The sequence below is a fragment of the Homo sapiens genome, chromosome 2, assembly GCF_000001405.40.
Source record: "Homo sapiens chromosome 2, GRCh38.p14 Primary Assembly".
Taxonomy (NCBI): Eukaryota; Metazoa; Chordata; class Mammalia; order Primates; family Hominidae; genus Homo; species Homo sapiens.
In genome coordinates this window covers 110,424,103-110,440,552 of record NC_000002.12, presented here as the reverse complement: position 1 = coordinate 110,440,552, position 16,450 = coordinate 110,424,103, and the positions used below count along the sequence as shown (strand labels likewise).

Here is a 16,450-nt window from a genome sequence, read left to right as displayed (position 1 = left end):
TTCTAGATTTTCTAGTTTATTTGCGTAGAGGTGTTTACAGTACTTTCTGAGAGTAGTTTGTATTTCTGTGGGATCAATGGTGATATTTCCTTCATCATTTTTTATTGTGTCAATTTGGTTATTCTGTCTTTTCTTCCTTATTTGTCTAGCTAGCAGACTATCTATTTTGTTAATTTTTTCAAAAAAACAGCTCCTGGATTCATTGATTTTTTGAAGGGATTTTCATGGTCACTACATGGTGACATTTTAGCAATTTTAGAATAAATCCATAGACTAAATCACAGCATGCATATATCATTTATATCTTAATGGCTCGTTTAATTATTTTATTTTATTTTACTTTTTTTAGAGACAGGGTCTTGCTCTGTTGCCCAGGTTGATAGGCAGTGGCAATTATAAGTCACTATAGCCTTGGACTCCTGGGCTCAAGTGATCCTTCTGTCTCAGCCTCTTGGGTAGTTGAGACTACAGGTGTACACCACCACACCCTGCTAAATTTTTAGTTTTTTGTAGAGACAGGGTCATACTGTGTTGCCCAGGCTAGTCTTAAACTCCTGGCCTCAAGTGATCCTCCCCCTTTGACCTCTCAAAGCACCGGGATTATAGGCTTGAGCCACCATGCCTAGCCTTAACTGCTCATTTAAACCTGAACAAATCTTCATTAAGCATACTAGTAATTTTTTTTCTTTTACTGAGCTCTTTCGCCCAGGCTGGAGTGCAGTGGCTCCATCTCAGCTCACTGCAACCTCTGCCTCCCAGGTTCAAGCAATTATCCTGCCTCAGTCTCCCAAAAAGCTGAGACTTAAAATGAATGGTTGGGAAAGAATAAGGCTAAGCAGTATGGATTGAGATGCAGGGTGGGGCCCATAGACATCTTTGAGGGTCTGCACTGTCCCCTAAGATATGCACTATCCCCATGCCAGAGGGAAGAGGGACTGTAACATTAAATAGCAAATAAATAGCAATGTGACAAGGAGAGAGGAAGAGAAAAGGATAAAAGAGAAAAAGGAGAGAGGAGAAGTGGGGAGACTTACCTGAGGAACAACAAAATAATTTATGCTTTAATGTCACGTTTTGCCTGCTTTTTGGACAGAAGGGCTCACATTTTCACTTTGCACTTGCCCCTCTGAGGGCAGTGTCTCTCCATACTCCCTTCTCCTCCAGGCAGGAGTTGCTCCTCCCCCTTCTCCCTTGGGCCTGAGGACAGGGCTGAGAGGGTGGTGCTAGCTCTGCCTCCCCAGCCCTAGAGATTGTTCTGGACCTGCTACATTTCACCCCCCACCCCCACCTTTGTAAGTAGTCCTTTGATTAAACTCTCCTCATATCCTCCTAATTTGAGTGTCACATGTTTTTACTGCTTGAATGCAGAGCAATACATCCTCCCACCTCCACCCCCAAAGACCTGATTGTTGTCCTGTATTTCATATGAAGTTGAGCTGCATAATTTAGAGCTCTGCGTCGGTTAATTTGGCACATAAAACAACGTTGTATATTGACTGATTGATGAAAATACTGTGACCAGAGACTTGCAGGAACCCAAACCTGTATGTCCTCTAGGAGCAATGGTTCAGTATTTGCTAATTCACTGTTTGTGGTCACTTTATAACCAGAATAATGAGAATCAAATGTACTTCAACTTTTGAGTTTCAGTACACTTCTAAAAATCTAATTCCCTGCTCACCAGGGCTTTATTTTTCTAGTCTTTTTTCCCATGCTGAGGTAATGGATTTTGAAAATACCAGGTTTGAAGACTACAGCCACTGTAAGCCCCCCAAAAACCCTGGTGAATTGTTTGTAATTAGCAGTGCAGATCAGTGGCTCCCCTACTCTACCAGGAATGGAAACCACCTGTGGACTTGTTTCAAAATACAGTGCAGGGGACCCAACACCAGACCTAAGTCAGCATTTTCAGAGACAGGATTTGGGCATCTAAATTTTAAACAAGTGCTGCAAATGATTCTACCTGGCAGCCAGGTTTGGGAAACGCTGATGTAACTCTTACTTATTATGTATCCATATGTTTATGTTGTTTGTTTCTTTTTGCTCGTCTCCTTTTCTGCCTCCTGACAGCCCCATTATGGTGTCATTGGCTTTATTGTATGTCTCCTATTATTTTACCCCTCTCTCTCCAGTTTCTAGAAAATTTCTCCACAAACTGAGAGCTCCAGAATTGATGACTCAGAGTGAACCGAGGAGATCACTACTGTGCACAAGTTTGCCTCCAAACAACTGGGTGATGCCTCCAAACAGGTCAGATGTTTTTCACCATATTTTAGAGACAGGAACATGTAGCTATTGGGTACCTGATGTGTGACCATGAAAATCCCAGGAATTTTAGGGGATATCTTAAAGTAACTCTCAATATTAATGCTGCTAAATTTAAGGAGTCAAATTGGAAAGAGTTGTACATTTTAAAAATATATTATGGATAATTTAAAATATATACAAAAGTAGAAAGAAAAATATAATAAACTCTCATGCCACTGTCATACAGCTTCACACTGATTAACTCATAGTCAACCATGTTCCATTTGTATGCCCCCTCACTCCTCATCATTTTATGCATAAACATCTCTAAAAAGATATGATCATCTCTAAAAAGTAAGACTTCTTTATAAAATGTAATAACAACATCATTATCACATCTAAAAATGTAATAATCCTTTAAAATTATCAAATATCCAGTTAGTTCAATTTTCTCTGTCACATAATTTTTTTAACAATTTTTTTGTTCAAACTAGGATCCAAATTGAAATTGGCCAATTGGCCAATATGTCTTTTAAGTCTCTTTTGAGGCTGGCTCATGCTTGTAATCCAAGCACTTTGGGAGGCTGAGGCAGGAGGATTACTTGAGGCTAGGAATTCAAGACGAGCCTGGGCAACAGAGTGAAACTCCGTCTCTACAAAAAAAATTTAAAAAACTAGCCGGGCATGGTGGCACATGCCTGTAGTCCCAGCTACTCTGGAGGCTGAGGTGCGAGGATGGCTTGAGCCTAGGAGTTCGAAGTTGCAGTGAGCTATGACTGGACCATTGCACTCCATTCTGGGTGACAGAGTGAGACCCTGTCTCAAAAAATTTTTTAAAAATTTCTTTTGATCTATAGATTTCTCTCCACTCCCCTTTGTTTGTTTGTTTGTTTGTTGAAAATGGATGGTTTGTCCTCTAGAGTTTTCTGCAATCTGGATTTTATTAATTACATCCCTCTGGTGTCATTTAGCACATTCCTTGGTTGCCTGTATTCCTCAAAACTCAGCATTAGAACTGGAGACCTGGACAGATTCAAGTTCTAATTTTTGGCAAAAGTGTGTCTTAGGTGTTAGTGTGTTCTCGCATTGGGAGAAAAAGACATTTTTCTTTTTTGTGTGATGTTAGTAGTCACTGATGGTCATTGCCCATATCCACTAACTCATCAGGGATTGCTTGTGGTTATATTTTAATTGTACATTTCTTTTTCATTTCTCAGCTGGAATACTTCAATAAAGAGAAGCTTTCCATTATCTACAGTTTGGTTACTCTGAATATAGTTTGACTCAGAAAAGCAGTATCCCACCTTTCAAGATGCTTGAATCTTCCCCTCTGCTTACCAGTTTTCTAAATAATGAAGTGATTTTCTAAGCATTCTCTAGTTATATATCTGTATCATTAGAAATGCACAGACTTTTAGCATACTTAATATGTTTCAATGTTTTGCCATTATTATCCTTATTGGTGGAGAAATGGCCTTATTCTGGCTAGCAGAAGCTCTTTAATTTTGTCCCTGAGCCCTTCGGACATGCTGCTAGCCATCTCAGACAGCCTCCTTGGTTCCTGGTATGACAAGATGTTTTAGGTTTATTTGTGTATTTCCTTCTCCAGACCTGGAATCATCCATTTCTCCAAGGATCTCTGCTTCTTCTTGTAAAATAGGCTATTTAAGGACTACAATCTGAGCATTAAGGGTGAGTCCTTTTCCTCATTCTTCCAAAGATAACTTTGAAAGAAGTTTTTAGTATGTCCTGCCTTTGGTATTTTAATATAAGCAAATATGTTTATATATTCATATTCTATCTTAGATGAATAGCAATATGCTATACACATTTATCTCTACCTTGCTTTTTCACTGAATATATCCTGGCCATCACTTCATAGTATCCAGAGACAGACTCCATTTCTTTTTATGGCTGAACAGTACTCCATTATGTGAAGGTTCCACTTTTTCCCACCAGTCCCCTCTTAATGGAAACCATTCCACACCACTTACAGAAAGTCTCATTCAACAAACAGTTTTTGAAAACCTTCTGTTTTCTGGACACTATTTTAGGTGCTTGGGAAATACCTGTGCACAAATTAAAGATCTCCACCCTTGTGGAGATTGTGTTCTATCAGGAGTACACAGATAGTTAAGAATAAATGGAAGATATAAAGAATCATATCGTGTGGCAGAAGGTGATAAGGGCAATGCAAGGAAGTAAAAGATCAAGGGGGAGGGGAGCAGGAGGGCAGCGGTGGGCTGAAGAGTTCAGTAGGGTGGGGATCAGGGTCTGCCTCCCTAAGAAGGTACGATCTGAGCAAACACTTGGGTGTCTGGGGAATGCATCATCCAGGCTAAGGGAATAGCTAGAGCAAAGGCCCTGGGGAATGTTTGAGGAGCATAAAGGAAGCCATTGAGGCTGGAGTGGAGTGGAGTGAGTGAGGGGAAGGGGAAGGAGATGGAGCCAAAGACAGCAGGGCTCCTGCGTGCCCTGCCTTGTGAAGGCATTGGAGAAGGTTTGGCCTCTATTTTCAACCACCACTGTTGACTTTGCCCCTACCTCTTGATTGTCACATTGCAGTGTTTTAAAAAGAATTCCACAAAATCCTGTGGAATCTAGGGGATAACTGGCAAATAGAATTGGGTGGAATTCTCAGGCTGAATATGGACTTTGTTCATTTTCCCAGCTGAAACTACCTAGTAGCTGCAGAGTAGAGTAGAGATGCCTCTGTGCTAGTAGGTCTGGGTTTGCAATCCCAGTGCTGCCATTTTCAAGCTGTGTGACCTGAGGCAGTCTGATGCTCCTCTCTGAACCTGCATTTCCTAAGCTCTAATGTGGATGTTGTAATCAGTACTTCTTATGGGCTGAATTGTATCTCCTCAAAATTCATGTGTTGAAGTCCTAACCCCCAGTATCACAGAATATGGTAGGGTCTTTAAAGAGGTAATCCAAGTAAAATGAGGTCCTTAGAGCAGGCCCTGATCCAATAGGACTGTCCTTATTAGAAGAGGAAACTTGGACACAGATACACACAGAGGGAGCACCGTGTGAAGACACAGAGAGGAGATGGCCAGCTACCAGCCAAGCAGAGAGCCCTTACTGTAAACCAACCCTGCCGCATCCTGATCTCAGAATTTTGGCTTCCAGAACTGTAAGGAAACACATTTCTACTGTTTAAGCCACTTGGCTGGGAGTACTTGGTTATGGCAGCCTGAGCAGACTAAACCAGCACCTCAAAGAGTTGTTATAGGGTATGCTTAGTGGTAACTGGTTCCTAAAGGCCTTGCTTTCTAAGGCTGACTCCTCACCCTGCAAGGATGCATTCTCCCCACTGGCAGATATGCAACCAGGAACAGGCATTAACACGCTTTATTCCCAGAGTTTTAATATTTTCCATTGCATAAAATATTTGTTCATGAAAATGACAAAATTGCTATTAGATTCTATCACCACATCTCTGTTGATTTTACTTTCTGCAAACACATACAAGTAATGTAGGCATACAGTTAAAAATGAAACCTTATCCTGTAGTTCCAGCTACTAGGGAGGCTGAAGCAAGAGAATGGCATGAACCTGGGAGGCGGAGCTTGTCGTGAGCCCAGATCAGGCCACTACACTCCAGCCGGGGCAACAGAGCGCAACTCCGTCTCAAAACAAACAAACAAAACAAAACAAAAAAAACTTATAGACAAGTACAAAATGAGAAGAAAAAGTCCCTTTCCCTTCATGCCTCTACTTCCTGCTGTATTCTCAAAGGTAAGCACTGATTACAGTTTACTTATGGATCTTTCCAGGAAAATATTTTATGCATTTATCAGAAAATGTAAGTATATGCATCCTTTAAAATTCTGCATAAATCAAACTCTGCAGGGTACTATCTTCCCATCCTCATTTGATATTTTGTAGATCTTTTCCTATTGGCTGTACAGATCACCTCATTCTGTCTCCTGGGTCATACAATATAGCTCACATAATTCTAAGTCTGAAGGTTGGTCCAAATGGTTCCAAGAATGCAGGTACCAAAAAGTAGTCTCTTGAAGAGGCCATCAGAGACCTGGCTGTTTGTATCTTCCTCCTCTGCCATCCACAGTGTCATCTTCACCCAAGGTGGCTGGAGAAGCTGTTAGGAATATGTGGTTTTTTAAAAATTACATTCATAGGAAAAGGGGAGGGAAGAGAAGAAGAAAACCTCTCCCCCTAAGCTCATGGCTCTTTTTAGTCAGGCTGAGCCAACTAAAGTCATGTACTTCCCTTAGATAGGTAACTGTTGCCAGGAAAATGCCCTGTGTGGATTGGCCTGGACTAAGCAGGATCCTCCTCTAAAGAGAGAGATGAGATGAATGCCTGACCCAAGTCTGGGATCTTGGGTGGGAAGCGTGTGGATAGTAGGTCAGAGGTCAGCAGTGTCTGTGGTGTAGGATGTAATCCCATCTCCACAGAGCTGCATACAAGTGTGTTTAAGTGTGTGCAAGTGATTAACTTTGATTAGTAGTTTCAACTCTTTACAATGAACATATTTATCTTTTTTAAAAAATAAAGCCATTTTAAAAGATCTTGCCATAAAACAATCATTCCTTAAGTCACCACTTAGGATAGACCTAGAATATTTGTCCTTTCTCAAGAGCACCAGAGAGTTTTCTGGTAATCCACGCAATAAACAGTTATAAAAGGTAATTGTTGAGATCAGGGGAAGATGGCAGATAGGAGGCAGTGCTAATGTGTAGCTCCCACATGGATGGACAAAACACCATGTGGAGACTCACACTGTGACCCTGTTGTGCTCCAAGAACTATCATAGGAACGTACTGGGAAAACCAAAAGAATTCACGGATCCTTTGAAAGAAGACGCACACCACTGTAAATTCTGTGGAACAGGAGAAAAACTGTGAGTTCCCAAAGTGTAAGAAGGGGGAAACCTACCTTTGAACACACATCCCCACTGGGGAATCTAAAAATCCAGATCATAGGAGAAGGATTTAACCTTAACCAGAGATGAAATGAGTTTAGGGAGATGTAAGAAAAATAAAAGTATGAGAGTAGTAGTGGGAAGTGCCTTGAATGGACTCCCAGTCTCCAGCTTGAGCCCTAGGAAGCCATCCCTGACTGTATCTCACACAGCCACTCAGGGAAGGCAGCCAGTGGAACTGGAGAGGAGTTGCAGGGCAAAGGAAGCTCTCAACTGAAATTGGTAGTGGTTTTGACCGGGCACAAACTTTCTCGAGCAGAGTCTGGAGGATGAGCGGGAACTGCTGTGGATACAAGCAAGCGAGTGCAGGAGTGCAGGAGCTGCTGCTGGCAGAGTGGGCAGACAGGGAGGGGTGAGGTCCTTAAGCCACGCTTGCTTTCTCAGCAGGGTAGCTCACGGCCTGAGCAGGAGCACTGTGGGAGTGAGACCGACCTCGCCAACTGCTTGGGAACTGGGCGAGAGCTCGTATTAAGGGCTATCCAATGCTTTCCTGGCAAACTATATAACACAGCAGAGGGCCAAGATCCACTCTAGAACAGTACTCCATTAGCCTAAGAACCACTCCTTCATTCCCCCACAGTGGCTACTGCAAGCCCTGTCCAAGGAGAGTCTGACCCCAGACCCACCTAACCCTGCCCCCACTTGATGGTATTTCCCTAGCCACCCTGGTAGCCCAGCACAAAACACAGAACCTCTTGGGAGCTTTATGGCCATGCCCATCACCTGAGAAACCAAAATGCTTACCCTGGCCACCTTAGGACAAGCTTAGAGCCCCCTACTACTATGGCAGCTGGTGCTCTCTTGAAAGTGCCACCTCGTCGCTGGAGGCCAACCAACTCAAGCCATTACAGCAACTCATGACAGAATAATGCTGATCTTAGGAAGGAGAAGACAACACCTAATTCTACTGCCTGCAACATCCTGGCTAAACAGAGGTCCTGAAGATGTCCACGTGACAATTTCACTGTTATGACAACCAGCATTCAAGAAAGCCAGCACACTAAACCTATCTATAACCAAGGACTCTCACAGAGTCTACTTCACTTCCCTGCCACCTCTACCAGAGCAGGTGCTGGTATCCATGGCTTGGAGACCTGAAGACAGATCACATCACAGGAATCTTTGCAGACATCCCCCAGGACCAGTCCAGAGCCTGGTATCCTCACTGGTAGCTAGACCCAGAAGACAAATAACAATCACTGCAGTCCAGCTCTCAGGAAGCCCCATTCCTAGAAGAAAGGGGAGAGCACTACATCAAGGGGTTACCCAGTGGGACAAGAGAATCTGAACAGCAGGCCTTGACTTTCAGATCTCCCCACTGTATTAGTCTACCCAATTGAGAAGGAAGAAAAGTAATTCTGGTAATATGACAAAACAGGGTTCTAGAACACCCTCAAAAGATCATACTGGCTCGCCAGCAATGGATCCAAACCAAGAAGAAATCTTTAAATTGTCAGATAAATAATTCAGAAGGTCAATTATTAAGCTATTCAAAGAGATACTAGAGAAAGGTGAAAACGAACGTAAAGAAATTGAAGGCCAGGTGTGGTGGCTCACGCCTGTAATCCCAACACTTTTGGAGGCCGAGGCAGGTGGATCACAAGATCAGGAGATCAAGACCATCCTGGCTAACACGGTGAAACCCCGTCTCTACTAAAAATACAAAAATTAGCCGGGTGTGGTGGTGGGCACCTGTAATCCCAGCTACTCGAGAGGCTGAGGCAGGAGAATTGCTTGAATCCGGGAGGTGGAGGTTGCAGTGAGCCGAGGTTGCACCACTGCACTCCAGCCTGGGTGACAGAGTGACCCAAAATAAATAAATAAATAAATAAAATAAAGAAATAAGAAAATACAGGATATGAGTGAAAATTTATCCAGGAAAATAGATATCATAAAGAAAAAACAATCACAATTTCTGGAAATGAAAGACACCTAGAGAAACACAAAATGCAATGGAACATTTTAACTACAGACTTGAACAAGTATAAAAAAGAACTTCAGGGCTCAAAGACAAAGCTTTCAAATTAACCCAATCAGACAAAGACAAAGGAAAAATAATTTTAAAAAATGAACAAAGCCTCCATGAAACTTGGGATTATGTTAAATGGCCAAACCTAAGAATGATTGGTGTTCCTGAGGAAGAAGAGAAATCTAAAATTTTGGAAAACTAATTTGAGGGAATAATTGAGGAAAACTTCCCTAGCATTGACAGAGATCTACACATCCAAATACAAGAAGCTCAAAGAACACCTGGGAAATTCATTGCAAAAAGACCATAACCTAGGCACATAGTCATCAGGTTATCTAAAGCCAAGACAGAGGAAACAATCTTAAGAGCTGTGAGACAATAGCACCAGATAACCTATAAAGGAAAACCTATCAGATTAACAGAAGACTTCTCAGCAGAAACCTTACAACCCAGAAGAGATTGGGGTCCCACCTTTAGCCTCCTGAAACAAAATAATTGTCAGTCAAGAATTTTGTATCCAGCAAAACTAAACATCGTAAATGAAAAAGAGAAAAGTATTTTTCAGCCAAACAAATGCTGAGAGAATTTGCCACTACTAAGCCAGCACTACCAGAAATGCTAAAAGGAGTTCCAAACCTTGAAACAAGACCTTGAAATACATCAAAATAGAACCTCTTTAAAGCATAAATCTCACAGGGCCTATATAACACGATGAAAAAAATTATTAAGGCAACAACTAGCATGATGAATAGAACAGTACCTCACATCTCAATACTAATGTTGAATGTAAATGGCCTAAATGCTCCACTTAAAAGACACAGAATGGCAGAATGAATAAAAATCCACCACTAAGTGTGTGCTGTCTTTGAGAGACTCACTTAAATGTATAAGGACTCACATAAATTTAAGGTAAAGAGGTGGGAAAAGATATTCCACGCAAATGGAAACCAAAAGTGAGCAGGAGTATCTATTCTTATATCAGACAAAACACACTTCAAAGCAACAACAGTAAAAAAAAGACAATAGGCACATTATACAATGATAAAAGAAATAGTTAAATGGGAAAATATTACAATCATAAATACATATGCACCGAACACTGAAGCTCCCAAATTTATAAAATAATTACTAGTAGACCTAAGAAATGAAATAGAAGGCAACATAGTAATAGTGGGGGACTTCAATACTCCATTGACAGTGCTAGACAGGTCATCAAGACAGAAAGTCAATAAAGAAACAATGGACTTAAACTAACTCTGGATCAAATGGACTTAACAAATATTTACAGAAGATTCTACCCAACAACTGCAAAATATACACTCTTTTCTTCAGCACATAGAAAATTTTCCAAAATAGACCATATGATAGGTCACAAAGCAAGTCAGTTAACTTAAGGAAATTGAAATTATATAAAGTATTCTCTCAGACCACAGTGGAATAAAACTGGAAACGACTCCAAAAGGACCCCCTAAAACTATACAAATACATGGAAATTAAATAATTTGCTCTTGAATGATGTTTGGGTCAACAATGAAATCAGGATGGAAATTTAAAAATTCTTTGAGTTGAACAATGACAGTGAAACAACTTATCAAAACCTCTGGGATACAGCAAAAGTGGTGCTAAGAGGAAAGTTTAAAGCATTAAATGCTTACATCAAAAAGTCTGAAAGAGCACAAGTAGGCAATTTAACATCATACTTCACGGAACTAGAGAAACAAAAACAAACCAAATCCAAACTCAGCAGAAAAAAAGTAAATAACAAAGATCAGAGCAGAACTAAATGAAATTAAAATTAAAAACACAAAACATAAATGAAACAAAAAGCAGTTTCTTTGAAAAGATAAAACACAATTGATAGACCATTACTGAGATTAACCAAGAAGATAGAAGATCCAAATAAGCTCAATTAGAAATGAAACTGGAGATATTACAACCAATACCCCAGAAATACAAAAGATCATTCAAGGCTACTATGAACACTTTTATGCACACAAATTAGAAAATCTGGAAGAGATGGATAAATTCCTCCCATATTAAATCACGAAAAAATAGAAACTCTGAACAGACCAATAATTAGCAAGATTGAAACAATAATAAAAAAAATTGCCAACAAAAAAATGTCCAGAACCAGATGGACTGACAGGTGAATTCTATTAGACATTCAAAGAAGAATTGATACCAATCTTACTGAAACTATTCCAAAAGATAGAAAAAGAGGGACTCCTCCATAAATCATTCTATGAAGCCAGTATCATCCTAATTCCAAAACTGGGAAAGGACATAACAATAAAAGAAAACTACAGACTAAGATCCCTGATGAACACAGATGCAAAAATACTCAACAAAATACTAGCTAACTGAATCCAACAGCATATCAAAAAGGTAATACAATAGGATCAAGTGGGTTTCATACCAGAAATGCAAGGATGGTTTAACATTCACAAGTCAACAAATGTGACACATCACATCAACAGCATTAAAAACAAAAATCATATGATCATCTCAATCAATGCAGAAAAAGCATTTGATAAAATCCAGCAAAACTGGTATACAAGAGACATACCTCAAGGTTATAAAAGCCATCTATGACAAACCCACAGCCAACATGATACTGAATGGGGAAAAGTTGAAAGCTTTCTTCCTGAGAACTGGAACAAGACAAAGATGCCCACTTTCACAACTTTTATCCAGCGTAGTGCTGGAAGTTCTAGCCAAAGCAATCAGACAACAGAAAGAAATAAAGGGCATCTAAATTAGTAAAGAGGACGTCAAACTGTTGCTGTTCACCGATGATATAATTGTATGCCTAGAAAAGCCTAAAGACTCACCCAAAAAGCTCATAGATCTGATAAATGAATTCAATAAAGTTTTAGGATACAAAATCAATGTACACAAATCAGTAGCACTGCTGTACACCAACAACAAGACTGAGAAACAAATCAAGAACTCAATCCCTTTTACAACAGCTGCAAAAAATAAAATAAAATACTTTGGAATATACTGAACCAAGGAGGCGAAATATCTCTACAAGAAAAACTGCAAGACAGAAAGAAATCACTGATAACACAAACAAATGGAAGCACATTCCATGCTCATGGATGGGTAGACTCGATACTGTGAAAATGATCATGGTGCCAAAAGCAGTCTATGGATTCGATGCAATTCCCATCAAAATACCATCAGCATTTTTCATGGAGCTTTAAAAAGCAATCCTAAAATTCAAATGGAACCAAAAAAGACCCTACATAGCCAAAGCAAGACTAAGCAAAAAGAACACATCTGGAGGCATCACATCACCTGACTTTATACTACAAGGCTGTAGTTACCAAAACAGTATGGTACTGGTATGAAAACAGGCAAGTAGACCAATGGAACAGAATAGAGAACCCAGAAATAAAGCCAAATACTTACAGTTAACTGATCTTTGACAAAGCAAACAAAAACATAAAGTGGGGAAAGGACACCCTATTCAACAAATGGTGCAGGGATAACTGGGAAGCCACATGTAGAAGGGTAAAACTGAATCCTCATCTCTCAACTTATACAAAAATCAACTCAAGATGGATCAAAGACTTAAATCTAGGCCGAGCATGGGGGATCACAACTGTAATCCCAGCACTTTGGGAGGCCAAGGTGGCCAGATCACATGAGGTCAGGAGTTCAAGACCAGCCTTGCCAACATGGTGAAATCCTGTCTCTACCACAAATACAAAAAATTAGTCAGGCGTGGTGATGGGTGCCTGTAATCCCAGCTACTAGGGAGGCTCAGGCATGAGAACCTGAGAGTTGGGAGTTGCAGTGAGCGGAGATTGCTCTACTGCACTCCAGCCTGGGTGACAGAGTGAGATTGTCTCAAAAAAAAAAAAAAAAAAGAAAAGAAAAGAAAAGAAAAAAGACTTAAAATCTAAGACCCAAAATCATAAACATTCCAGAAGATAACATCAGTAAAACTACCCTAGACATTGGTTTAGGCAAAGAGTTCGTTAACTACCAAGAACCCAAAAGCAAATGCAACAAAAACAAAAATAAATACATTGGACCTAATTAAGTTACAAGTTTCTGCATAGCAAAAGAAATAATCAGCAGAGTAAACAGACAACCCACAGAGAGGGAGAAAATATTCTCAAACTATGCATCTCACAAAGGACTAATATTTAGAATCTACAAGGAACTCAAACAAATCAGCAAGAAAAAAACAAATAATCCCATCAAAAAGTGGGCAAAGGAAATTAATAGACAATTCTCAAAAGAAGATGTGCAAATGGCCAACACACACATGAAAAAATGCTCAGCATCACTATCAGGGAAATGCAAATTACAACCACAATGAGATACTACCTACTCTTGCAAGAATGGCCATAATTTAAAAATCAAAAAACAATAGATGTTGATGTGGATGTGGTGGAAAGGGAACACTTTTACACTGCTGTTGGGAATGTAAACTAGTACAACCACTATAGAAAACACTGTGGAGATTTTTTAAAGAGCTAAAAGTACAACTACCATTTGATCCAGTAATCCCACCACTGGGTATCTATCCAGAGGAAAAGAAGTCATTACATGAAATAGATATTGCACACTCATGTTTATAGCAGCACAACTCACAATTGCAACAATTTGGAACCAGCCTAAATGCCCATCCACCAATGAGTGGAAAAAGAAAACGTGGTGTATATGTGTACATATATATACATATACACCATGGAATACTACTCAGTGATAAGAATGAATGAAATAATGGCATTCACAGCAACCTCATGGAGTTTGAAACCATTATTCTAAGTGTAGTAACTCAGGAATGGAAAACCAAATATTGTATATTCTCACTTATAACTGGAAGCTAAGCTACGAGGATTCAAAGGCATAAGAATTACAAATTGGACTTTGGGGACACCGGAGAAATGGGGGAAGGGTGGTTAAGGATAAAAAACTACGTATTGGGCACAACGTACACTGCTCGGATGATGTGTGCACCAAAATCTCAGATATCACCACTAAAGAACTTATCTATGTAACAAAAACCACCAGTTCCCCCAAAACTACTGAATTTCTTTTTTAAAAAAGGTAATTAAGATACCTTGTAGACAAGGACCTTTGATTACACACTGGTAGAAATTTCACTTTACCATTTCAGCCACCATATGCCTGCTGTCTGCCCGGGGCTTGGGATTCAAAGACAAATGTTTCCAGTTCCCTTCCTCCCACAGGTGCTTGTGGCCTGGTGGGAAGCAGGCAACATGTGCACATAGATCAAAGGAAGCACCAAGTAGCTGTTTTCACGAAGGGTGTGGTGAGCACAGAAAGGAAGCCACCTGTTGGCCTGGAGAAGTTGAGGAAGGGCTCTCAGGGGATGTTAGAACTGAGTGGTAACAGTCAGAGGAGAGGGGTGAAGTGCCATGCCTGGCATGCCTGCCGAGAAACTGTGGCCACATGCAGTTCTCATTGCAGGCCAGCCTCCAGCTAGGACACAATTCTGGTGTTGCAATGCAGGTCAGTGTCCTGTATTAGTTTTCTATGCTGCATAACACATTGCCACATGGATTCTCTGCTCGGTGTCTCACAAGGTGGGAATAAAGGTGTCAGCAAATTGTGTTCCTTTCTGCAAGGCCCTGGGGAAGAATTCACTTTCGAGCTCATTCAAATTGTCAGCAGAACTTTAGTTCCTTGCAGTTCTCTTCATCCTCGAGGCAACAGCGTCCCATCCAGGCACGCTGAGTCTTTCATAAGCTTCAAATGTCTCCTCTCCCCTGTCTTGCTCTTTAGGGGTTAAGGGTGATTCCACCAGGCCAACCCAGATAAATCCAGGATAACCTCCCTATTTTAAAGTCAACTGATTAGAAACCTGTCCACAAGGCTCTTTTGCCTTGTAAAGTAACAGATTCATAGTCCCAGAAATTAGGGTTTGAATTCTCTTAGAGGACTATAATGCTGCCTGCCAGTCTCCCACCTGGAACTTGCCAGAAATCAGCACCTAGCACTAAGTCTTTATTTAATTTTTTATGTTTAGAGAGCAGTATTGCTGTTGCCCAGGCTGGATTACAGTGGTGCAATCACCACTCACTGCAGCCTCAACCTCCTAAGCTCAAGCCATCCTTCATCTCTGCCTAGACTAGCCCACTATAGGTTTGCCACCATGCCCAGCTCTTTTTTTTTTAAAGAGATCTGGTCTGGATATGTTGCCTAGGCAGGTATCAAACTCTTGGGCTTGAACAATCCTCTTGTGTCTGGAGTTGGTTCCTTCCGGTGGGTTCCTGGTCTTCGAGAATGAAGCCATGGACCTTGCTGGTGAGTGTTACAGCTCTTAAAGATGGCAGGGACCCTGCAGTAGCAAGGTTTATTGTGAAAACAGAAAGAATAAAGCTTCCGCAAAGCTGACCGGGACCCAAGCAGTTGTCGCTGCCGGCTGGGGTGGTGGCCAGCTTTTATTCCCTTATTGGCCCCTCCCATGTTCCGTTTCTGTCCTATCAGAGTGCCCTTTTTTCAATCCTCCCCGCAATTGGCTACTTTTAGAATACCGCTGATTGGTGCATTTTACAGAGCACTGATTGGTGCGTTTTACAATTTTCTTGTAAGACAGAAAAGTTCCTGATTGGTGCATTTTACAATCCTCTTGTAAGAAAAGTTCCCCAAGTCCCCACTGCACTCAGGGAGTCCAGCTGGCTTCACTTGTCACTCCCGCCTTGGCCTCCCAGAATGCTGGGATTACAGGCATGAGCCACTGGCTTGGCCTAGCACCAAGTCTTGATGAACCACCCAGAGGGACATCACACCTCATGCCAGGTGACAGGGATTGTCACAGTCCCTCCAGGCCTCTCCCTCCTCTGGGAGGAGTCAGTGAAGTTGGTTGGTACAGGAGCCCAGGACCACCTGCTTTGCCCGCCAGGGCTTACCTGACAGTTGGCCGGCAAGTACTTACCATTATTATTGTTTTAACTTCATGATCAACGTTTTAAAAAATCAGGAGCGGTCTCATTAAAACTCAGATTTCCGCTTTCTCTTGAAAATTCAGCAGCTCTGGCAACCCTGAGTTCCAGGTCAGGCTGGAACTGGGGGCGCCCCATGGGAAGAGGGGAGGGCGCGCGCCCCCTCTCGGGAGGTATTTGCCTCGAGAGGCCCCACTAGGAGCCCACACTACGCTCTCCTGGGGGGTCCCCTAGGACGGGGAGGGAACTAATAATTACTGGGCCCTCCCCAGCGGCAGCCGTGGCTCCTACATTAGCTGGTTTAATTCTCCAAACAGGTCTTGGAGGAAGGCATCCTTCTATTCTACTGATCAGAAA

The 16,450-nt window shown here is 41.3% G+C and overlaps 1 protein-coding gene and 1 long non-coding RNA gene across 6 annotated transcripts in view; one reads left to right on the top strand and one right to left on the bottom strand.

The window, feature by feature from the left end:
- LIMS4 (LIM zinc finger domain containing 4) overlaps nt 1-16,450 on the top strand; it is a 113,949-nt gene that overhangs the window by 32,523 nt on the left and 64,976 nt on the right. Inside the window, exon 10 of one of the 5 annotated variants that reach the window (XM_047442254.1) lies at nt 2,133-2,858. The exons of the other annotated variants lie outside the window; for them this stretch is intronic. Coding sequence (XP_047298210.1) covers nt 2,133-2,139 — 7 coding nt within the window. The 3' untranslated portion in view covers nt 2,140-2,858. Of the gene's footprint in view, nt 1-2,132; nt 2,859-16,450 lie in introns of those variants that run through there. 5 annotated transcript variants of the gene reach the window in all.
- Nucleotides 5,586-16,417, bottom strand: LOC124906063 (uncharacterized). The gene is made up of 2 exons (XR_007087174.1): nt 16,087-16,417; nt 5,586-6,352 (listed from the first exon to the last, which is right to left on the bottom strand). It is a non-coding gene; the product is annotated as an uncharacterized LOC124906063 (long non-coding RNA).